This window comes from Homo sapiens, chromosome 12 (genome assembly GCF_000001405.40).
Source record: "Homo sapiens chromosome 12, GRCh38.p14 Primary Assembly".
Classification (NCBI taxonomy): domain Eukaryota; kingdom Metazoa; phylum Chordata; class Mammalia; order Primates; family Hominidae; genus Homo; species Homo sapiens.
The window spans coordinates 55,408,072-55,433,060 of NC_000012.12; the positions used below are offsets into that span (position 1 = coordinate 55,408,072).

Sequence of the window (24,989 nt, forward strand, 5' to 3'; positions counted from 1 at the left end):
TTTCTGTCCATTACTTTTTTAATAGTATTTCTTCCCCATTTTTTTCCCAGCTGTCCATGTGGGATAAACACAATGCTCTTGTTGGTCTGCTTGATTGTGCCTCACAGATTCTTTAGTATCTGTTCACTGACTTCACTGTTTTCCTCGTACTTCATAATTTCAATTGTTCTATTTTTAGGTTATCTGATTCATTTGTCTGCTTGCACAAATTTGCTTTTGAATCCTTCTAGGTTGTTTGTATTTCCGTTGTTATTTATGGCTCCAGAATTTTGATTTGGTTTCTTTTACTATTTCAATTTCTTTGGTTATGTATTTTATTTTGTTCATGTATTGTTTTCTTGTCTTTGTCCATGTCTGTCTTCAGTTTTTGGAACATCTTCAAGGAAGTTGACTAATTATTTTTTAACATAAGAAAAGTATGCAAATTTTATTTGATGTTAAAATTTTAATTTTTATGTGTGCATAAAGGTCTTCATGGAAAAAAAATAAGACTTGAAGAAAGGCTAGACCCAAAAGCCTATATACCATTATAATAAAAAGAGATAAATTGTGGAGTTGTGACAAAAAATAGAAAAAGGAGTATGGCCTGGGGGCAGTAAATTGTGGGAATGTGATGAGGAAATGTATAGGGGAAACTAATGAAAAGATGGGTCAATTTAGTAAAATTTGTTCTTACACATTCTCTCAGTGTTACCTCCCCATCTCTGGTGATAAGAGTGTTCTCCTCTCCTGTTACAGGAAGAGCATCTTTCTCAGAGGAAATTTATACCCTGCTTTTAGGTAGAAAGTGGAAGGCCAAAGAGCTCTTCCTGCATCTACTGTTTTCTCAATTGCCTTTAGCTCAAAATAATCAATATGCTAAAGTGTCATATTTGGGGATAGCATGTTCTGATCCCCTTATAATCTTATTTTGTATTGTTTTTCTTCTTTTTTGTAAGATAAAGACAAATATTTATTTAGTCCCCTGGCTTTATTATTTCATTTAGATAAATATAGGACTTTTAACTTTTAGGTTCAGGGGTACACATACATGTTTATTATACAGGTAAATTGAATGTTATGGGGGCTTGGTGTACAGATTATTTCATTACCCAGGTAATAAGCATAGTACCTGATAAGTAGTTTTTTGATCCTCATTCTCCTTCCACCTTCCACCCTCAAGTAGGCCTGGTGGCTGTTGTTTTCTTCTTTGTGTCTATATGTGCTCAAAATTTAGCTCCCATTTATAAGTGAGATCACATAGTATTTGGTTTTCTGCAACGTAAGCATTGTAGAGGTCTATGCTACTATGAATAGTGCTTCAGTGAACATATGCATGCATGTGTCTTTATGGTAGAATGATTTATATTCCTTTGAGTATATATCCAATAATGGGATTGCTGGGTCAAATGGTAATTCTAAGTTCTTTTAGAAATTGCCACACTGCTTTCCACAATGCTTAAACTAATTAACATTCCCACCAACCATGTATGAGTGTTTCCTTTTCTCCATAACCTCACCAGCATCAGTTATTTTCTAATATTTTAATAGTAGACATTCTGACTGGTGTGAGATGATATCTCACTGTGGTTTGGAATTGCATTTCTCCAGTGATGTTGAGCATTTTTTCTTTTTTTTTTTTTTTTTTTTTTTTTTTTTTTTTTTTTGAGACACTGGATTTCTTTAATTAAAAAAAAAATGCCAAGAAACATTATTTATACAGGGTTGATTGTTTTCATGTTGTTATTCTGTACCCTATAGTAGCCTCCATGAGAATCTGGTATTTCTTGCTGCTTGGAACTACTTTGCAGTGATTACTTGGTTGCAGTCCAAGTATTCTCGTTTAGTCTGAGCCTGGAGATGTTCTAGACTTGCTTCTCCCACCTCTGAGATTAGGACAGGAAAAATGTGAAATTTCCCAATTACAGGATTATACGGTACCATCACATCATTTGTGGAAATTGGGGTGACTGTATAGCTGGGATTGGGCTAAGGACTGTGGTCTTATCTGTCCACATACAGCCAAAATGCCTATCCAGAAATCCAGTTCGTTGGAAAGGAAAATTGGTACTCCTGTGCCACAGGGGTTCCAGAAAAGGGAAGTCACTTTACCTTGCGGTGGTGGGATCCTGATGTCTTTCATCCATTTGTAGTAAAAGCTGGTAAAGCTTTTCTTACTCCTGGTTCCCTACCAGTATTTCTAAACATGTCGCACTTTCTCCACAGGCATGTGGTTTTGACCTTTTTTTCAATCTTCTAGAAAGGGAACGGAAGCAGAAGTGGGACATCGAGGGCTCTGCTGTCCTCTGCGCTGGGTGTGGAATGCTGCTGCACCTGTCCCTTCTGCTGGCTCAGGGAAGTGTCTTCTTGCCCACATTTCTGTGGGGAAAGGTTTTTAATCCTCTGATGCTTCCATCTTCCTGTTTAGGCCATGTGCCCAGAAACCTGGACTGATCTTTCTTTAATAGTGAACCCCTGGGCCACTGAAGAGTAACATGGCTCCACTGGACACAAAAGAGGGATGGAATCAACAGGCAGGGGGCCTTTTATAAGCCTTAGGAAAAGAAAATGAAACTATTTCATCTTTGGACTTTTCAATACTATTGGAGTGATTTTTTTCTTTCTAAACAGGGAAAATAATGTTACAAAAGCATCTTTTTTGTTATTTGTTTGCATCCCTCCCCCACACCCTGGTGTTTTAAAATGAAGAAAAAAAACCACTTTTTGTACAAAAACTCTTAATGATTAAAAAACAAACAAACAAAACATATTGGCCTTGTCATTTGTGTGAAAGTGGGCAAAGACTGGAATAGAGTAAGACAACTGAAACCAATTTTCATCCTTTTACTGAGGAAAAAAATATTTAATATTTTTGTTATATAAGGAATAGTGCCTAAGGCAGGTACTTATACTCCTGACCTCAGCCCCACACACTCTGGTTTTATAAAGCTATAGGACAGAGCAGAGATGGAACTGAAAAACAGGGTAGAAAATAACATAAATTGGAGGGGAACAGTGGGATGCAGAAAGAATGACAACAGCCACATGTGCCCCAGTCAAATACTTTTAGTCCCTGCAGCAGAAGATGCCAACCAAGTCTCTATACTGGCTGGGGATCCTGCCATGGATGCAGGAGAAAAAATTCAATCACAAGGGAGTAAGTGACAACAAAAAGAAAAAACTCTGAGCCACAGCTACACTGGGAGGGGGAAGGACCAGATTTTGCTACTTCTGTCACACAAGCTAGAAAAACCCTACCTCTCCCATTGGGCAGGCAACCTGACATTCCACCCAGTTCCTTGCCTTACCATACTATGTATTCCTCCTCTTGGAGAATTAAGACCTGGGCTAAATGCTCCACTCCGGGATAAGGCTGAGCAGTCCTAGTTCTCTAGACTGCCTCTTTTATAAAGATTGGATTAAGGTACGTGAAATGGTGAGAACTGTAAAGATTTTAAAAAATAAAGTAGAACCCAGAGAAAATGTCAAAGCTGCCGCCATGTAGCACCAGCAACCAATTCTTGCACTTCTCTTCCCTGTCTCAGTAATCCCCTACAGAAGGTTACATGATTGGAACAACTCTTTCTTCCCTGCAAAGTCTGCTGGTACCAGGTTATAACCTGGACAGTGGAGAGTGTCTGCCTTAGGCTGGTTTGTGCAAGAGGGCCACCTTAGGTCTCCTTGAGGACATTTATCTTGGCGCAGATCTTGAGGGCAGGGCCCAGCTTGATGTTCATGGCACTCATAAGATGTTCTTCTTTAAGTAATAAAAGGGCCTGTCCATCAATCTCCTGTGAGCGAAATTCCTCTGCAATCTCTTGGCAGCCTTGGAGAGAAGCAATAAACTCGTACACCTCCTCTACACTCCAACGGCTGGGATTACTGGACAGGAACACAGGGTTGATGCCATGTAATTCCGGTGTAGGTGGAGCTGTATTGGGATTCCCCAGGTCACGTTCTCCATGCCCAGCTCTTACTGATAAAGGCCCAGGAGATGTTGGAGAGAGTGCTTCATCATAACTGGAATTATCTGAACCCCGGCTAGAGTCTTCTTGACCCCGGTGGCACTTGCCCTGAATCTTGGCACGGGCAATGTCAGAGGAGCTGCGGCGGGGTCCACGCCTGCGAACGCGAGCATAGTTGGCTTCTTGAAACTCTTTCATTTTTTTCCTCTTCAGCCGGAACTGATGGCTACAGCTCACATTGTACCTCTTAGCGCAAGTCATGGAGCAGAACCTCTTAGAGCCACGAAACTGCTCTGCGGGGGCGTACTTCCCACAGTACTCGCACTTCAGGAGATTCGCCTTCTTATCTAACTCAGCAGATGGGCTGTCCACTCCCAAAGGGCCACCTGACTGATTCTCAGTCAGCCCTGTCGGAAGGCCAGTCTGTAGTGGCTTCTCAGACTCCTTCAGTAACTGAGAACAACCCACCGGGAAAGGTTCTGCTCCTTCCTGGATAACAAAGCCTTCAATGATGTGGGTGAGAATCTGGGGCTTCACGATGGCCTGTGGGGGTTTTGAGTCACCCATTTGTCTAGACACCATGGCTAGTGTAGGAGGCGGTACTGAAGGGGCGGGGGTCAAGGCTACTAGTTCACTGTTTGGAGTATTAGCATTCACATTAGCCACTGATTCAGCTTTTTCTCCAAGACTGCTCTTCTCGTCCATGACTTTTGGGCTTTCTGCTACTGGAGATGCCTTGGCAGGAAGCATTGAACCCAATGTGGAGACATCATCTCTCTCCTCCTCAGAGTCAGCCTTGCGTTTGACAGCCAATGTCTGGGGTTTACCCGGCAAGTGCACAGACTGCATATAGAAGGCAGCAGGGACCTGGGCTACAACAGGTGAGGAGGTGGTAGCCCCACCCTTTACCACATGTGCTGTCCCCTGCACAGGAGCAAGGGTCATCCCAGGGGCCAATGTGGGAGGGCACTCCTGCAGTGCACCAGGAGCCTGGGATGAAGGTGGCGAGGAGGCCAAATGGGCCTGACCAGACTGCACTGTACCTGGCATCCCCCGGGAAGTAGGTACAGCAGCTGCCAGCTGTGCCAACCCCAAAGCCTGTGCCTGGGCTGTACCTGGCTGTCGAGTGCCTACAACTTGCACAGGGATATGGGGTGGTGGTTGCTGGGCAGCTGACATCTTAGCGGCCCCTAACTGAGGCGGCTTGATAGGTGCTACAGGTGGTTTGGATTGGATGGGAATTGGTGGCTTAGGGGCTGCATCAGGTGGAAGAGACAAGGGTGAAGACTGAAGCATGGGCTGAACGACCAGGGTTTGGGCTTGCTGCTGGGACTGGGAAGGTGGGACCTGCTGAGTAGGTGGGACCTGTGGTGGCTGAGGGGCAGTGAGGGTGGTGGCTTGCGGCTGCTGCTGTTGCTGCTGTTGCTGTTGTTGCTGCTGCTGCTGCTGCGCCAACTGGAGGTGTGTAGCTGTGTGAAGGAGCTGGGACTGCCAGTGCTGGAACTGCTGCTGGTGGTGGATGGCAATCTGCTGCTGGATCACCACCTGTTTCTGCTGGAGGTGGATCTGTTGCTGTTGCTGAATCAGTGAATGGGGCTGGATCTGTGTGTAGGTGGCTGAGCTAATAAGTGTCTGGCTGGGCGCAGGTGTGGCTGTCCGTGTCAGGTTCATGCCCACATTCTGCTGGCCACTCCCATCTGCTTCTGCCTTCTTGGCTGCTGCACTTTCTGCCTCTGTCTGGCTGCCCTGGCTCACAGTCACTGTTTGGGCTGCAGGCAAGGGCTGCACCACTCCTGTACCCTTCCTGGGACAGCTCCCACCACCCATTCCTGAGGAAGGCAACTGACCCAAACCACCATGTGCCTGCCCACCTCCACCTGGACCCATGGACCCTGGGATGCTATTCCCACTGCCTCCACCAGCTTGACTAAGGTTGAGGGACTGGTTTGTGGCCCCAGAGGAAGCCTGTGCCACCGCTAGGGCCTGGCTAGAGGCCTGGGAGAGGCTAGAGACAGGGGAGGCTCCTGGAGGAATGGCCTTCTGAGTGGAGCCTTGCATCTGAGGTCCTTGAGCTGAGGCCTGTTGATTCCTTACTGCCAAGTTCTGAACCTGATCTGCATCTGCATGAACTCCAGGAGACTGAGCAGATGGCACCTCCTGCTGGACTGCAGCCACTGCCCCATTAGGCATCAGGATGAGTTGGGAGGCTAGAGGCACATTCCGACCCAGGGTTCGGTTTACCTGCAATAGGTTTCCCAGCTGTGGCCGTAGATACATCTGGGCCTGAGACTGGTTGAGGGGTGGGGAGGTGGTGTTCCCCAGTAGCACAGATTGGGTCAAGGTGGTAGCACTGGGAGAGCTCACACTCTGGGATCGGCTGATGAGCTGGGCGGCCGATGTGGTGGCCAGATTGATCGAGGCCTGGGTGGTGGTAGTCTGCTGCTGTGTAGTGCTGGTGTTTGGGGAGCTGGCCTGCCGACTGGCAGCAATTGTGGCCTGTAGTGCCTGTCCCCTCCCTCTCGGGCCAGCTGGCTGCTGACCTCTCACCTGCTGGACGGCAGCCAGGCTATGCAGCTGGGCATTACTGAGCTGCTGCTGGAGCATGAACTGGTGGAAATACTGAGCTGCATTGGGCTGCCGCTGCAGTGCTTGCAGAGCCTGCACTGCTTCTCGTTCATATAGTGACATTTGAGCTATCTGGGGCCGAGAGCTGCCCCCTGAGCTAGAACTCCCATTGGTGGAATTGGAGTTCTGCTCGCTCGCAGTCTCCATGATAGTGGTCCAGGGTCCCCAAGGCTGGTGCTCTGTCTGACTCAAGACCTTCTCGCCTGGCTGTGCACCCAAGTCTTCCCCGGGGGCGTCCACCTCATGTGCCGGGGTCCCCAGTCGCCAGGCTGGGCTGGGGGCTCGCTCGGCCTCCGCGGCGGGCTCCCCTCGCCTCCTCCCCTTCCTGGAGGGGCGGGGGCGCCGAGGGCGGGGTGGGAGGCGCCCGGCGCGACCGCGGCTCCCCGCCCCTCCCGCCGCTCCGGGTGCGGGCCCGGCCGCGGCTCAGCCAGGCCTCCGGGGCTCGCTCCGGGCCTGTCACTTCCTGCCCGGCCGAGAAGGTGGGGGCCGCAGGCCAGGGGCTGCGGGCCGGGCTGAGCATTTTTTCATATGCTTGTTGGCCACATGTATGTCTTCTTTTGAAAAGTATCTGTTCATGTCCTTTGCCCACTTTTTAATGGGGTTGTTTGTTTTTTTGTAGTAAGTTTGTTTAAGTTCCTTACAGATGCTGGATATTAGACCTTTGTCAGCTGCTTAGTTTGTGAGAATTTTCTCCCACTCTATAGGCTGTCTGTTAACTCTACTGATAGTTTCTCTTGCTATGCAGAAGCTCTTTGGTTTAATTAGGTCCCATTTGTCAATTTTTACTTTTGTTGCAATTTCTTTTGGCAACTTTGTCATGAAATCTTTGCTAAGTCCTGTATCCAGAATGATATTTCCTAGATTTTCCAGGGCTTTTATAGTTTTAGGTATTATATTTATGTCTTTAATCTATCTTGAGTTGATTTTTGTATATGGTGTAAGGAAGGGAGCTAGTTTCAATCTTCCACATATGGCTAGCCAGTTATCCCAGCACCATTTATTAAATACTGAGTTCTTTCCCCATTGCATATTTTTGTCAATTATGTTGAATGTCAGATGGTTGCAGGTATGCAGCCTCATTTCTGGGCTGTCTATTTTGCTTCATTGGTCTACGTATCTGTTTTTGTACCAGTACCATGCTATTTTGGTTACTGTATCCTTGGAGTATAGTTTGAAGCCAGGTAATGTGATACCTCCAGCTTTATTCTTTTTGCTTAGGATTGCCTGGGCTATTCAGACTCTTTTTTAGTTCCATGTGAATTTTAAAATAGGTTTGTTGTAATTCTATGGAGAATGTCATTGGTAGTTTGATAGTAACAGCATTGAATCTATAAATTGCTTTCAGAAGTATGGTCATTTAAAAATATTGATTCCTTCTATCCATTAATATGGAATGGTTTTCCATTTATTTGTGTCATCTCTGATTTCTTTGAGCAGTGGTTTGTAATTCTCATTGTAGAGGTCTTTCACCTCCTTGGTGGGCTATATTCCTAGGTACTTTATTCTTTTTGTGGCTATTTTGAATGGGATTGTGTTTTTAATTGTGCTTTCTGCTTGAATATTATTGGTTTATAGAAATGTTACTGATTTTTGTATACTGCATTTGTATCCTGAAACTTTGCTCAGATTGTTTATCAGCTGAAGGAACTTTTGGGAAGTGATTATGGCATTTCCTATGTACGGAATCATATCATTTACAAACAGAGATAGTTCGACTTCCTCTCTTCCTATTTGGATGTCTTTTATTTCTTTCTCTTGCCTGATTGCTCTGGCTAGGTTTTCCGGTACTACGTGGAATAGAAGTGGTGAAAGAAGGCATCCTTGTCTTGTTCATATTTTCAAGGGAATGCTTCCAGCTTTTGCCCATTTAGCATAATATTGGCTGTTGGTTTTTCACAGACGGCTGTTGTTATTTTGAAGTATGTGTGTTCGTTGCTTAGTTTGTTGCGGGATTGTAAATTATAGAGAAGATGATTTCTATCAAAAGCCTTTTCTGCATCTACTGAGATGATCATGTGGTTTTTGCTTTTAGTTCTGCTCATGTGGTGAATCACATTAATTGATTTGTGTATGTCGAACCAATTTTGCATCCCAGGAATAAAGCCTACTTGATCGTGGTGGATTAGCTTTTCAATATGCTGCTGGATTTGGTTTACTAGTATTTTGTTTTGTGTTTATCCATCTATGTTAATCAAGGATATTGACCTTAAGTTTTCTTTTTTTGTTGTTATCTCTGGTAGGTTTTGGTATCAGGATGATGCTGGCCTCATAGAATAAGTTAGAGAGGACTCCTTCCTACTCAATTATTTGGAATAGTTTCAGCAGGAATACTAACAGCTGTTTATTACACATTTGGTAAAATTCAGCTGTGAATCTCTCTGTTCCTGGGCTTTTTCTGGTTGGTAGTCTTTTTATTACTGATTCAATTTCAGAGCGCAGTGTTGTTCTCTTCAGGGATTCAATTTCTTCCTGGTTCATTCTTTGGAGGTTGTATGTGTCCAGGAATTTATCCAGTTCTTCTAGTTTTTCAAGCTTGTGCACATAGAGATGTTCATAATAGTCTCTGATGGGTTTTTGTATTTCTGTAGGGTCAGCAGTAGTGTCCCTTTTGTCATTTCTGATTGTGTTTCTTTGGATCTTCTCTCTCTTTTACATTAGTGTAGCTAGTGGTCTATCTTATTAATTTGTTCAAAACACCAGCTCCTGGAGTCATTGATCTTTTGTATGGATTTTCATGTCTCAATTTCCTTCAGTTTAGCAATGATTTTAGTTATTTTTTTTCTGCTAGCCTTGGGATTAGGGTTGGTTTGTTCTTTCTCTAGTTTCTCTATTTGTGATGCTTAGGTTGTTAATTTGAAATCTTTCTAACTTTTTGATATGGTCATTTAGTGCTATAAACTTCCCTATTAACACTGCGTTGACTGTGTCCCAGAGATTCTGGTATGTTGTGTCTTTTTTGTCATTATTTTCCGAGAATTTCTTTATTTCTGCCTTAATTTCATTATTTACCCAGAAGTCACTTAGAAGCAGTTTGTTTAATTTCCATGTAATTTTATGGTTTTGAGTGGTTTTCTTAGTATTTATTTCTATTTTACTGCACTGTGGTCTGAAAGCATGTTTTGTAAGATTTTTTTTTAATTTATTGAGGATTGTTTTAGACCTGATGTGTGGTCATTTTTGGAGTATGTGCCATGTGCAGGTGAGAAGAATGTATATTCTGCTCTTTTGGGATAGATGTAGATGTCCATTTGGTCAAATGCTGAGTTTAATACTATCAGTGGGGTGTTAAAAGTCTCCCACCATTATTGGCTGGTTATCTAAGTCTCTTCGTGAGTCTCTAACAACTTGCTTTATGAATCTGGGTGCTCCTGTGTTGGGTATATATATATATATATTCATGATAGTTAGGTCATCTTGTTGAATTGAGCCCTTACTATTGTGTAATGCCCTTCTTTTACTTTTTTATCTTGATTTAAAGTCTGTTTTGTCTGAAATTAGAATAGCAACCTTTGCCTTTTTATATTTTCCTTTTGCTTGTTAGATTTTTCTTCATCCCTTTATTTCGAGTCTATGGGTGTCATTGCATCTGAGATGGGTATCTTGAAGATAGTAAACCATTGGGTTTTCATTGAGGCATTTAGCCCATTTACATTCAAGGTTAGTATTGATACATGCAGATTTGATCCCATCATCATGTTGTTAGCTGGTTATCATGCAGAATTGTTTGTGTGGCTGCATTATAGTGTCACTGGTCTAGGTACTTAAGTGTGATGCCAGTAATGGTCTTTCTTTTGTAGTTGCCAGTAATGGTCTTTTCCATAGTTAGCACTCCCTTCAGGACTTCTTCCAAGGCAGGTCTGATGTTGATGAATTCCCTCTGCATTTGCTTGTCTGAAAGGGCCTTATTTCTTTCACTTATTAACATTAGTTTGGCTGGACATGAAATTCTTGTTTGTAAATTCTTTTATTTAAGGGTTCTGAATATAGGCCTCTAATCTCTTCTGGCTTGTAGAGTTTCTGCTGACAGTTCTGCTGTTAGCCTGATATAATTCCCTTTGTATATTACCTGCCTCTTCCTAGCTGCCTTTAACATTTTTCTCTCATTTTGACCTTGAAGAATCTAATAGCTATGTGTCTTGGGGTTATCTTCTTGTGTAGTATTTCACAGAGGTTCTCTGCATTTCCTGAATTTGAATGTTGGCCTCTGTAGTGAGTTTGGGGAAATTTTCATGGATAATATTCTGAAATATGTTTTCCAAGTTGCTAGGTTTCTCTCCCTCTCTTTCATGGATGCCAATGAGTCATAGATTTGGTCTCTTTACATAATCCCATATTTCTCATAGGTTTTGTTTATTCCTTTTTATTGTTTTTCCTTTATTTCTCTCTGACTTAGTCATTTTGGAGAGCCAGTCTTCAAGCTCTGATATTCTTTACTCAGTTTGTTCAATTTTCCTGTTAATACTTGCAATTGCACTACGAAATTCTTCTAGTATGTTTTTCAGCTCTATCAGATAAGTTTGATTCTTTCTTATAATGTCCATTTGGCTATCACCTCTTGTATTGTTTTCTTGTAATCCTTAGATATCTTGGATTGGGTCTCAAGTATCTCCTGTATTTTAATGATCTTCATTCCTTTCCATAGTCTGCATTTTATTTCTGCCATTTCAGCCATTTCATCCTGGTTAAGAATCATTACTGGAAATATTATTATGGTTGTTTGGAGGTAAGATGATACTCTGGCTTTTTGAGTTGCCACAGTTTTTGTGCCAGTTCTTTCTCATTTGTGTGGGCTGATGTTTCTTTAATCTTTGAAGTTAGTATCCTTTGGATGGTTTGCTTTGCTTTTTTCACCTTTGATGCCCTTGGGAGTTTGATTATGGTATAAGGTGAACTCGGTTGACTGGCTTTGATTCTAGTCTGCTCCTGGGTTGTGGAAAAGCCCCCTCTGATTACTGTCTCTGTGCTCACATTGGTTTTGTTGGGTGTTCTAGTCAACAGGAATCACTTAGGCAGCACCTGCAGTTGGCATATATATTAGTCCATTCTCACACTGCTATAAAGACATACCTGAGACTGGGTAATTTATAAAGGAAAGAGGTTTAATTAAGTCACATTTCCACATGGCTGGAGAAGCCTCAGGACGCTTACAATCATAGTGGAAGGTGAGAGAGAAGCATGTCTTACATGGTGGAAAATGAGAGAGTTGCAAACAAGAGCAGGGAAAACTGCCTTATAAAACCATCAGATCTCATGAAAACTCACCGGCTATCATGAGAACATCATGGGGGAAACCACCCTAATGATCCAATTACCTCCACCTGTTTTCTCCCTTGACATGTGGGGGTTATGGGAACTAGGGATTATAATTTAAGATGATATTTGGGTGGGAACATAAGGCCTACCCATATGAAAATACAAGCCATGTCCTTGCCAGTGTGGCCCTAATCTGCTGTCTATGTATTTCCCGGGGAAACATGGTGTTGGGCCTGCCTGCAGAGTTTGGGGGAAATGGGACCACTGGGTTGGAAGTTCTAGTGGGTGTGGTCTATCTGGCTAGAAGAGGCAGAGGAGGGTGGAGTTGCCCACCCTGCCACTTGAGTGTTTGCACAGTAACAGTAGGCTACCCCCTTCTGCAAATTCAGGCAGAAGTAGGACTGCTGGGCTGGTAGCTCTAGCTCCCCACCATAGGCCCAATAGAAGCCACACTTGTGGTACTTGGGAGCAGTAAGATTGCCAGACTTTCACTGTCAGATGGGGCTTGGTGCCAGCTTCCAGCCCAGTGGTCTTGCTTTGGCCTGAACTGGGCTAGCCATTCCACCTACCCCCACCACTGGTAGCCAGGCAAGCAATACTTGCTAGAGCTTCCAGCCCAGCAATCCCATGTTTGTGTAAACTCAACTGGAGGGCACAACCTCCTGTTGTCCTGGGAAACACCCAAACACCATAGCACATGACTTCACCTGCCCCTGCCACTGGTAGCTAGGCAGACAATGGTAGCTAGGCAGACAATGTTAGCAAGAGTTTCTGGGCCAGTGGCTCCTCTTCTGTGTGAACTCAGTTGGAGGGCATAGCTTCCTATTGCCTGGGGAAACAGCCAGATGGCTGAGTGGTAACCAGGTAATCCTGCCACCAGTAACAAGGTGGGCAGTGCCTGCTAGTTTCTGGCCCAGTGGCCACAGAGCACATCTTCCTGTTGTCCTGGGAAACAGTCAGATGGCAGAGCATGTGACCCCATCTGCCACTACTACTCGTGGGCAGGTTGGCAACATGTACTAGAGCTTCCAGCCCAGCAGCCCTGCTTCTGCGTGAACTCAATGGAAGTATACCATTAGCTCTCCTGGGTCTCCAGCTTGTCAACTGCAGCTCTTAGAACTTTTTAGCATCCACAATTGTGTGAACAAATTTCTTATAATAAATAAATAAATCTATCTATTTATCTATCTATCTGTCATCTATCTACCTATCTACTCATCCATCCATCCTATTGGTTCTGTTTCTCTAGAGAAGCCTGACTAATACAACTGTATTTTCTCTAATGTCTCTTTTTTTCTAATAGGTGCAGACACACATATTTATATTGAACACATTAACTCATACTAAGTAAAGACTTAGATCCCACGACATTCATGAACATGAGCTATTTTAGGTTCTTATTAAGGGATTGACAATTGAGGATGATAAAAAATATATATATTTAATACTATGAGGTGACATAATGAGTTTTTACCCATTATTTCAAGTAAATTATTACTTATTTAGATAAGGAAATAACCAATAACTCTTGGAATTTGAGTGTAACATGTGAAGCTTGGCTGAGTTCTGCATTTACTTACACATTATCACTTATGTGGATGAGGAATTTGTCGTGTTCTTGATGTGGACTACAAAAGGATACCAAATGGGATATTAAGGACTTGACTTTTGTATTCCAAATTTTTATCACTGAGCATTAAACAGATGTACTTATTATAAACAAAGTAGAAAGAAAGGATTATAATCACAGTTTACTCTGGTACAAAGGCAAAAATGCATATCACAGTAAACTATAGATCTTTTTAAAAGTTTGCACTACAGCAAGGCCACCACCAAATAAAAACAGTAATTCCAGTGAAATTCACAGCAAACTTACGTCTACTTTACCGTGTAGAGGTAGATCTACCTCTTTACTGTCTAGTAGATTTACCTCTATACCAATTACTACTGTGTAGTAGATTTACCTCTATACCAATTTCTTTCTTTCCCTTATACTTTGTGTACTTTTCCTTATAAATTCTCTCTATTTTATTTCCTAACATAATGGCCTTCTTTTGAGTACAGGCTTCCCAGTCAAGAAATGTCTTAAACTTGACCATGTCTAACAAACTGAAATCATTCAATATTTTCTTAATAATATGAAAATTATGCAAGTATTTCATGCTTTTAAATCAGTGTTGAATTTCTCAAAAAATAGTGCCTTAATGTTTTATACTTATGTGTAAAATTTCTCTAGAATCAAGAAACAGGACATTTATTCTAAATCTTCTAGAAGATATTATGCTCTACTGTAAAATTAAAAACAATATATTTTGATCAAATATTTAAAATGGACAGCTTTTTTTTTTCTTTTTTGAGATGGAGTTTCACTCTTGTCACCCAGGCGGGAGTGCAATGGCATGATCTCGGCTCACTGCAACCTCCACCTCCCGGGTTCAAGCAATTCTCCTGTCTCAGCCTCCCAAGCAGCTGGGACTACAGGCGTCCGCCACCATGCCCGGCTAATTTTTGTATTTTTCAGTAGAGACAGGGTTTCACCATGTTGGCCAGGCTGGTCCTGAACTCCTGACCTCAGGTAATCCACCTGCCTCGGCCTCCCAAAGTACTGAGATTACAGCTGCTGCGCCCAGCCCATCTTTTTTATATGTGTTTATTTGCATAATGCAAATAAAAACCATCATACTTCCTTCTTAGAAACATATTTAACAATTTATAAAAAATGGAAAATTTACCAAGGTATCAATAAATAATAGGGAAAAAGAGAAATAATTATACTACCAGGTATCAAATTGAAGGATAAACAACCACAATAAATATTCTGAAATCAGTAAGACATTATCAAAATAGAATCAATATCCCAGAAGCAGGCACATAATCCCTGTTTTATTCTCTATTACACTAGGAAGGATTAAAGGTATTAATCTTTTATAAGCTGAATTTATATTAAAATAATCATTTTTATAGAAACAGGTAAGGCAAACAAACAGTTCTCTAGGAAAACACAGAGATATTTATGAACATTTTAATTGTGCAAAGTTGTGGCTCAGTAACTCATTTGAGAAAACTTACAATCAAGGGATAATAGAACAATAATGCCAAGATGCATTTGTGTGTCTATGCATTCTAATATTATTTATAATAAGGAATATTTTCAAAGATTGGTACGTTCAGCAAAGAATAATTTTATTCATTATGGCATATCCATACAATGAAACCATATTTAGTCATTAAAATGGATGTTGTAATTGTCTAAGCTAATATTAAATGGTTAACTATTGCTTAGAGACAAATGGAAGATTTTCTATTTGGGTATCAATGCTTAAAAATATATTACTAAGTGTCAAAGACAGGTGATATCGTTTGGCTGTGTCCCCACCCAAATCTCATCTTGAATTGTAGTTCCCATAATCCCCATGGGTCATGGGAGGGACCTGGTCGGAGGTAACTGAATCATGGGGGCAGTTTTTTCCCATGCTGTTCTCATGATAGTGAATGAATCTCATCAGATCTGATGATTTTATAAATGGCAGTTCCCCTGCACACAATCTCTTGCCTGCCACCATGTAAGATATGCCTTTGCTCCTCCTTCGCCTTCTGCCATGATTGTGAGGCCTCCCCAGCCATGTGGAACTGTGAGTCTGTTCAACCTCTTTTTCTTTATAAATTACCCAGTCTCAGGTATTTCTTCATAGCAGTATGAAAATGGACTGATAGAGCAGGTGTCCACAATTAAAATGTATGTGGAGTAGTATACATCAAATTGGTAACAGTGGTTATCTCTGCACATAAACATTTGAATATATGTTAACATCACATGAAGGCATCTTTTTCAAATAAAAAGATTCATGTTGTGATCTTTTTATTAAATTATATTTGTCTCTACAGTTGTGATAAAGTCTATAATAAATCAATGACTGAGTTTTTATTACTGAAGTACTATTACTGTTTATGCAAATGTAATTTAAATATCCTGGTTTCCACTTATATAACATATTCAACAAGAAGATACTATTTTTTAAGCCAGGAACAATGGTACACACCTGCAGCTCCAGCTACTCAGGAGCTTGATGCAGGAAGTTCATTTGAGGCCAAGAGTTCAAGGCTGCAATCCTGCCTATGAATAGCTACTGCACTTCAGCTTGGGCAACATAGTGAGACCTCCTCTCATAAAAAACATGTAATTATTTTTTCAAAAAAAGAAGAAGATACCATTTTAATCATATTTTTAGCACTGTATTTAATCACTGCATTGAGAATGATCTCAATTTATTGTGCTCTTATGTAAAAATATATTTTGCATAAAGTATTAAAAGTATTTGTTGTTTTATATATGTGGAAAATAATACAGAAATGTACAGATGAAATTTGAGTTGCTTCTAATTTTAGATAAATACTAGTCAGCTCAATTGATGAAGGGAGTTACACTCCCTATATAAGTTTCACCAGTGATAGTGTATAATAGTCTTCAGTGATTTCAACATTGTTTCAAAGATTATAATACCAGATACTTTTTCTTTCATAGACCCGTGGCTTATTTTGCTTGTCATATTTTAAATTGCTTTTTCCCATAGTCTTAAGGATGATACATGACAATGGACATTGCAGGTTGTTGGTTTATTCTTGCTAGACCTCACTCCTCCCCAGATACCTGGCTAACATCCTGCTGGATAATTTTCTCAGTCTTCTCCTGGGACACAGGTCCCAAAATCAACCAATTAAAATATGATTGCTGGAGTCAAACTTGTACATGGATTCACTAATGCCCTATTATTGTTTATCCCAAATGTCATTAAGCATTTGTTTCCTTAAAGCATATTTCTGAAATTATGTAAAGGAAAATATATTAAAGGTATTATTTACTTTTTTCCTAGGGAAAATTAATAGAAATGGCCCTCTGTGAAGTATCAGAATAGCCTATCGTAAATAATTCTAGAATTTTTTTCATTTATGTCAGCAAAACTTTTAACTAAGGATTTATTGTTAAGATGGTTGGTGGAATATTTCAGGCTTCCAGATTTTGGACAGTGTTGGGTGGAAACATGAGGAGACTATTTCACTGGATGTGTTAAGATGAAACATCAAGATCTTTATGATGAAATCTGTAACTTTGTAGGAGGGGAGAAAAAACAGTTATTTCTTCATGTAGAATTGACTCACTACATGACTTTTGATTTAAGAGAATTGAGCACATTATTTTCTGTTCAATATTTAACTCTAACCATCCAAATTTTCATAATAGGTAAGTATTTTAAATTTATTTTTTGTGATTTAGCTTCTATCCATTCTATTCTGTAGCACTGATTAATCTCATATCATATTTATTTCCCTCTCTGTCTCTTATGTATATGCATATTTAATAGTTCAGAAATTAATGGAGATTTAAAAATCTTTTAAATGGTAATTTCTAGCAATTAAATAGGTAGAACACAGCATATTTTTCTTAATATTTATACATTTACACTTAGAAAGAGCTGGTGCATATTACAGATGTGGGTGTCCAAGATAGTTACTAGACAACATATGTGAAGTATTTGTGCATTTTATATCTGATTTAGATATATGAAGTAGTTGTGTACTTCATTAAAATATTTTCTGAACATGTTTTGGGTGCCTGACTACATTTAAAACATTTTACTAGAAATTTTAAAACACTCAACTGAAAAATACTACATTAATTGGATTTTAATGAAAAGGCTCTTTAAAAAAAATCAAGAATAAAGATAGGAGTTTCAGAGGCACCTGTATTACCTGAAAATAGAATGTGTGGTGGATTGAAAAAAAAGTGGATACTATCTATATAAAGCCATTGTTTAAATGTTCAAAACACATTAGAATGACTTACCCACTGAATTATTATTTTGTTTTACAAAGAAAGGGGTAAAAGATAAATTAACAGAGGTAGTAGTGTCTACATCCTAAAAAAGATATTTATAATTTTCACCAAAAAATTGGGTTGATCACTGATTTACATCATCAGTCCAAATTTTTATTCCTATAAAAGATACAGTAAGCAAAGCATAATGCCCCCTACATTTTAGCTAAATAGTAAAGCATTAGAAAAGTTTATGTTCTATTAATACATTTCCCCAAAATAAATGTAAACTATGGAGACAGAGTAAACATGTAGCAGTGACTGATATTAAATATAGAAGATATATCTTTAAAAGCAGAATTATGGAAAATAAGAAATATAAATGTATATATATACACTATTTTAAAAGTCCCAAGTGCTTCTTGTCACAATTCAATAGTATTTGAAAAAAAAATGTGCAAATATTTATACTTGTCTTTGGACTCATTGTTTTGTTCCTTTTGATGTTGATTTTATCAGTAATCTCTGACAGGAATCAATCATCAGAAATGAAAAATAGAACATCAGTGACAGATTTCATCCTTCTGGGTCTGACGGATAATCCGCAACTGCAGGTTGTGATTTTCTCGTTCCTATTTCTTACGTATGTACTGAGTGTTACTGGAAATCTAACTATCATCTCCCTTACCCTGCTGGATTCCCACCTGAAGACCCCCATGTATTTCTTCCTCAGGAATTTCTCCTTGGAAATTTCATTTACTTCTGTCTGTAATCCTAGATTTCTGATCAGCATTCTAACAGGGGACAAATCCATATCTTATAATGCTTGTGCAGCTCAGCTATTTTTCTTTATCTTCCTTGGCTCAACGGAGTTTTTCCTCCTGGCCTCTATGTCCTATGATTGCTATGTGGCTATATGTAAGCCTCTGCATTATACAACCATCATGAGTGACAGGATCTGTTATCAGCTTATAATCAGCTCTTGGCTGGCTGGTTTCTTGGTAATTTTTCCACCACTGGCCATGGGCTTACAGCTGGATTTCTGTGACTCCAATGTCATTGACCACTTTACCTGTGACTCTGCTCCTTTGCTGCAAATCTCTTGCACAGACACAAGTACTCTAGAGCTCATGAGCTTTATTTTAGCTCTGTTTACTCTTATATCCACTTTGATATTAGTAATTCTCTCCTATACTTACATCATCAGAACTATTCTGAGAATCCCCTCAGCACAGCAAAGAAAAAAAGCCTTTTCAACCTGCTCCTCACATGTGATTGTTGTCTCTATCTCTTATGGAAGCTGCATCTTCATGTATGTGAAAACATCAGCAAAGGAAGGAGTTGCTTTGACAAAAGGAGTAGCTATACTCAATACCTCTGTCGCTCCTATGCTGAATCCATTTATTTACACTCTAAGAAACCAGCAGGTGAAACAAGCATTTAAGGATGTTCTGAGAAAGATTTCCCACAAAAAAAAAAAACACTGATTTGAATGCAATTTATAAATGAAACACACACACATTTTTTACCGAAGAACCAATAAAGATTTCAGCTTTAGTTCCTTTCTGTCTTCTTATTTGTATGTCTTCTCAGGAACACAACTGTTTCTACTATTTTATTTAATGTTAAATTAAATACTAATGTATTTAATGTTCTTACAAGTCCTTATATGAATTTATAGAGAAAAGTCATTATTAAATGATCTGATGCACATTCCTTGGTACAATTCAAAGAAGGAACTAAAGTCATTTCCTATATTAATCTATATACTTAAAATAATATAATTGTAATTATATTTATCACTGCCAAACTTATTTCAACAGAATATGATAATGTATCATCTATGTTAACTCACATAGGTGAATATATGAATACACATGCACATGTATGTAGTCAAATATATGTGTGTTTCTGTGTGTGTCAATGTTTGTGTATGTATACATGTGTATATTCATATATTCATATATTTGCATATATGAATATACACACATGTACACATTGTATGTTCATACATTCACATATATGAATATGCACACATATATACATATATTCTAAAGCTATTATATTTATGTATAATCTTTATATATTATAAATATATTTATATATAATATATAAAAAATATATATTTATAATACACATAATATATGTGTGTATATTCATATATGTGACTATATGAAGAGTGAATATATATATTCACTCTTTCCATTTTTTTTCTTTAAAATGAAACTTAAAGGAAACTCTGGGATATAGTAATAACTGGTATATGAACAAACTCTAAGAATTTAATAATTTAAATAGGGGAATTAATTTTTATAGTGATAATATTTAATTTATGCTTAACTTATATCTTATATAAAATAGAAAAAAATTAAGTTACATTTGTCATTATGACAGCAAATTATGAATTAGAATAACCTTTATTAGTTTTTCTTTTGTTTTTAGATCAATTTATTGTGAATGCTTAAATAACAAAATCAATTAATATAACAAACTGTGTCATTAAGAATAATTTCCTGAGTGTAGAAATTTTCTAATTATAGTTATTACTTAAGAAAAGGGTGATAGCATTTAGCCACATCTCTATAAAACATTTCTACAGAGAACTAGCAACATCTGGCTTGGGAATAATGCTCTCTGAGGACTTTTATCCAAGATTGTGATTTATGACTCAATAACCATGCAATATAGTAGCTTATGGTATTGTTTTCTGTCTTTTATCAGTTGTTTCAGACTAGTTTTGATAAAATTTGCCCACTGTATTATGTGTGATTGTATTAGTTGCCAAATAAATATCAAAATAAAACACGTTTAAGCCAAAAAAAAAAGATTTATTGGATTGATAATCTTAGGAAGACTTGAAAGTTCTGAATTATTCTGTTTAGCTCAGGAGTCAGAAAAAAGGATTCATATGTGCCATGACACAATCTTGCTCAATCTCACTTTTGTGAGACCTCTGTCTCTTCCTGTTTTTATATGTCATATCTTTACTGTTTATTTTCTTCTTCCTTACTACAGATACTCTTTTGACAAATTATAAATACACTTTGCACTCTCCCATTTATTCTTTTCAATTCATGAAACAATGAAAACAGACTCCCTGGGACCAACTCCAAAAGAAGTGTCAGTTGAAAAGAGTTGATTGACCCATCTTTGAGTAGGTGTTAGTAACTGACATTTCTTTGATCCAAGAGGATCAGCTACATGATTCTCAGCCAAAGTGTGCTGGTTAGTTTATGCATGGTAGAGTTAGGTTGTTTGGGTTTGTAAGTCTGACTCTGTGGTTTGCAAGCTTGAGACTTTGACATCCTTAAAGTGCTTAGTAATGTTAACTATATTATTATTGTCATTGTTATTGTAGTTAATGTTATTTACATGGCCTACCTGGGTCACATTGTTCTTTGAGAGGTGCAGTTGGGGGCTGGTAGCTATTCCTGCTTGAAAGTAAGAGCAAAATAATTCTTGAGTAAAGAAAATGCCATTCAAACCTAAATCAGTCAAATCTATTTGGCCAATTTGGCTGTGTAGAAAGCATGGCTACCTGCAGATACAGACACTTACAAGGTAAAGGGCAAATGATAATGCATTCAAAACTCTTCAAAAACTGGCATCCCCTGAGTAAATTTATGATAGTAAAGGATTGACCTTATGCCTTGTCCAAGTGTCATATTTTATCTTGGATTCCTACCAATTATAGTCAAAAGAGAGTTAAATATATAAAGCATAATGTTTATTTCCATTATGCTTTATACGTAACTAAACATTATAACTTAAAAATGGTTACTAGTGGCTGGAATTTTCATGTTCCCTATGTAGGAAGCCACATTCTTGGCATCTGCATACTAGAGCAGCTGAGATTCTTTGCACAGTAGGATGATGTAGGAAATAATTATCATAGTTCATTTTTCATTGTGTTTGTTTACTTTTTTTAACTAGGTGTGAAAATACATGACAAATCATTCCTTTCCACGAAAGCACCTGTGATAAGTCCACATGACCCAAACCAAATGTTTTTCTTACTGGATTGTACTTTAATACTGCTAAATTCTGATTCGAGGGATTTTATTTTGTATTAATGAAGTAGCTAACTCTCCTTAATTGATGTGCAGCAAGTTTAACCTCTCAGTTACTTGGCTTTATTAACTGTCAAATTGGGTTAACACTCCATAACTCATAGAATTTTTAAAACTCGTTGAGAGTAAATTAAGTCCTTTAAACAGTTTGTTTCAGGAACTCAATAGATATTTGTTATTATTTTATTATATAGTCTCCCTTTTTTCTTGCACTCTTCCACCCTGGATTTTAAAAACTGCATGTCTTCTCCTTTTGTTTAGGACATGCTTTCCCAAATTTACCCATTACACATTTTTCTTCTGTAACTAAGCCATTGACAATATTTTTATGCTGTCATTCTGTATACACCCTGCCTTTTAAAATTGTATCTCAGAGTTTAATACTATATTCTGAGACGATGGCTTTTAAATTTATGTCTAACCTACTTTTATCATGTGCCCAAGGCCTAACTATCTGATTTTCTCATTTTCACCATGAAGACGTGGCTTGAGTAGTGGGTATCATAACCAAAGTCTTTTTTTTTTCCTTTTGGATCTTAACCCCAAAATAACCTCAAATAAGCCTACTCTCCAAAACAACAACAAAAAAAACCCATCCTTGCTAAACAATATCACATAAAATAACATTATCTTAGTCATAATATCATTTATGGAGATTGCCTGACAAGCTGTCCTTTCTACAGCTTATAGCACAATCTCCATAAATGATATTATGGCATATCTAGAACTGCCAAAGCAAATATTCCATGGACTTTTATTTTATTTTATTCTTTTTTATTTGTATAAGTTTATAGGGTATAAGCGTAATTTTGTCACATGTGTAGATTGTGTAGTGATGAAGTCAGGGCTCTTAGGGTATCACCCAAATAACATGCATTGTTCCCATTAAGTAACTTCTCATCATCCACCCCTCGCACCTCATCAGCCTTCCAAGTCACCATTGTCTATTATTCCACACTCTACATCCATGTATGCACATTATTTGGTTCCTACTTATAAGTGAGAACATGCAGTACTTGTCTTTTTCTGTCTGACTTGTTTCACTTAAGATAATGGCCTCCAGTTCCATCCATTTTGTTTAATTTTATACTTCTGCTTTTGTGAATAGTACTGTGATGAGCATATGAGTACAGGTACATATCTTTTTTATTTAATTATTTATTTAAATGATTTAATAATTAATGATTTTAATGATTTCTTTAAATTATTAGTGACTTCTTTTCCTTCTTTCCTTTTCAATGATTTCTTTTCTTTCTTTCCTCTTCACTAGTAGGGTATTGCTGGATCAAAGGGTAGTTTATTTTTGTTCTTTGAGAAATCTTCATAGGATTTTCCATAGAGGCTGCACTAATTTACATTCCCATCAATCTTTGTAAGAGTTCCCTTTTCTCCACATCCTTGCCAACATATGTTATTTTTTATCATCTTAGTAATAGCCATTCTGACTGGTATAAGAGGATATCTCATTGCAGTTTTAATTTGCATTTCTCTGATGATTAGTAATGTTAAGCATTTTTTCATATACTTGTTGGCCATTCATATGGCTTCTTTTGAAAAATGCCTATTCATGTCCTTTTCCACTTTTAATGGAATTACCTGTATTGTTGTTATCATTGAGTTATTTTGAGTTTCTTATAAAACCTGGATATTTGTCCTTTGTCAGATGCATAGTTTGCAAATATTTTTTCCCATTCTGTAGGTTGTCTTTTCACTCTGTTATTACTTTGCTGTGCACAATTTTTTTTTTGGTTTAATTAAGTTCCATTTGTCTATTTTTGTTTTTTTGCCTGTGCCCCAGCTACATTTCTCTGTGGATATCTGACTGCTCATAAAAATCAAGCTTCAAAAACTGAAAGATTTGTCTTTTTCCTGCAGTCAAACTTGCTTTCCATCTAATCATTTATTTGCTGAGTTACCTAATTTGCCAAACCATAAGCCCAGGGTTCATCTCTTACTGCTTCTTTTCCTCTTCTTACCTCAAATTTTCATTAAATTTCATTTGTTCTACTTTCACATGTTTCTCACATCATCTTACTGATCGCTGTACCAATGAGATTGTGTTATAACGACAGAAAATACCCAAGATCAATGATCATGGGTATCTTCAGCAATGAGGCTCACAATTCTCAGGGTGCCCAGAAGCCACTGGTCAAATCGCATATTGACTCACTGCTGACTCTTACTTGCTGCCAGAAACTGCTGCCAAATAACACTGGCTTCTCCTTTTTTTGATAGTCCAAATCCAATGAGAATATTTCTAAGGTCAAACCTTACCTGCTGGAAAGGCAGAAACTTCAAAAATTTTCTAGGCTTACACAAACAAAAAAGAGAATTTTAGACCAATATCCTTGATGAACATTGATGCAAAAATCCTCAATAAAATACTGGCAAACCGAATCCAGCAGCACATCAAAAAGCTTATCCACCATGATCAAGTGGCCTTCATCCCTGGGATGCAAGGCTGGTTCAATAGACACAAATCAATAAATGTAATCCAGCATATAAACAGAACCAAAGACAAAAACCACATGATTATCTCAATAGATGCAGAAAAGGCCTTTGACAAAATTCAACAACACTTCATGCTAAAAACTCTCAATAAATTAGGTATTGATGGGATGTATCTCAAAATAATAAGAGCTATCTATGACAAACCCACAGCCAATATCATACTGAATGGGCAAAAACTGGAAGCATTCCCTTTGAAAACGGGCACAAGACAAGGATGCCCTCTCTCACCACTCATATTCAACATAGTGTTGGAAGTTCTGGCCAGGGCAATTAGGCAGGAGAAGGAAGTAAAGGGTATTCAATTAGGAAAAGAGGAAGTCAAATTGTCCCTGTTTGCAGATGACATGATTGTATATCTAGAAAACCCCATTGTCTCAGCCCAAAATCTCCTTCAGCTGATAAGCAACTTCAGCAAAGTCTCAGGATATAAAATCAATGTGCAAAAATCACAAGCATTCTTAAACACCAATAACAGACAAACAGAGAGCCAAATCATGAGTTAACTCCCATTCACAATTGCTTCAAAGAGAATAAAATACTTAGGAATCCAACTTACAATGGACGTGAAGGACCTCTTCAAAGAGAACTACAAACCACTGCTCAATGAAATAAAAGAGGATACAAACAAATGGAAGAACATTCCATCCTCATGGGTAGGAAGAATCAATATCGTGAAAATGGCCATACTGCCCAAGGTAATTTATAGATCCAATGCCATCCCCATCAAGCTACCAATGACTTTCTTCACAGAATTGGAAAAAACTACTTTAAAGT

The 24,989-nt window shown here is 38.6% G+C and overlaps 1 protein-coding gene and 1 pseudogene across 1 annotated transcript; one reads left to right on the forward strand and one right to left on the reverse strand.

The window, feature by feature from the left end:
• On the reverse strand, positions 1,642-7,072 carry PHC1P1 (polyhomeotic homolog 1 pseudogene 1; annotated as a pseudogene).
• An 11,110-nt stretch (positions 7,073-18,182) lies between these two features.
• On the forward strand, positions 18,183-19,121 carry OR6C76 (olfactory receptor family 6 subfamily C member 76). The gene has a single exon (NM_001005183.1). The coding sequence runs from the start codon at positions 18,183-18,185 to the stop codon at positions 19,119-19,121; it is 939 nt and encodes a 312-aa protein (NP_001005183.1).
• Positions 19,122-24,989: the final 5,868 nt, after the last annotated feature.

Bases quoted from the DNA above. Each gene is read 5' to 3' on its own strand.
- OR6C76 (NM_001005183.1), top strand. From the start codon at position 18,183: ATGAAAAATAGAACATCAGTGACAGATTTCATCCTTCTGGGTCTGACG.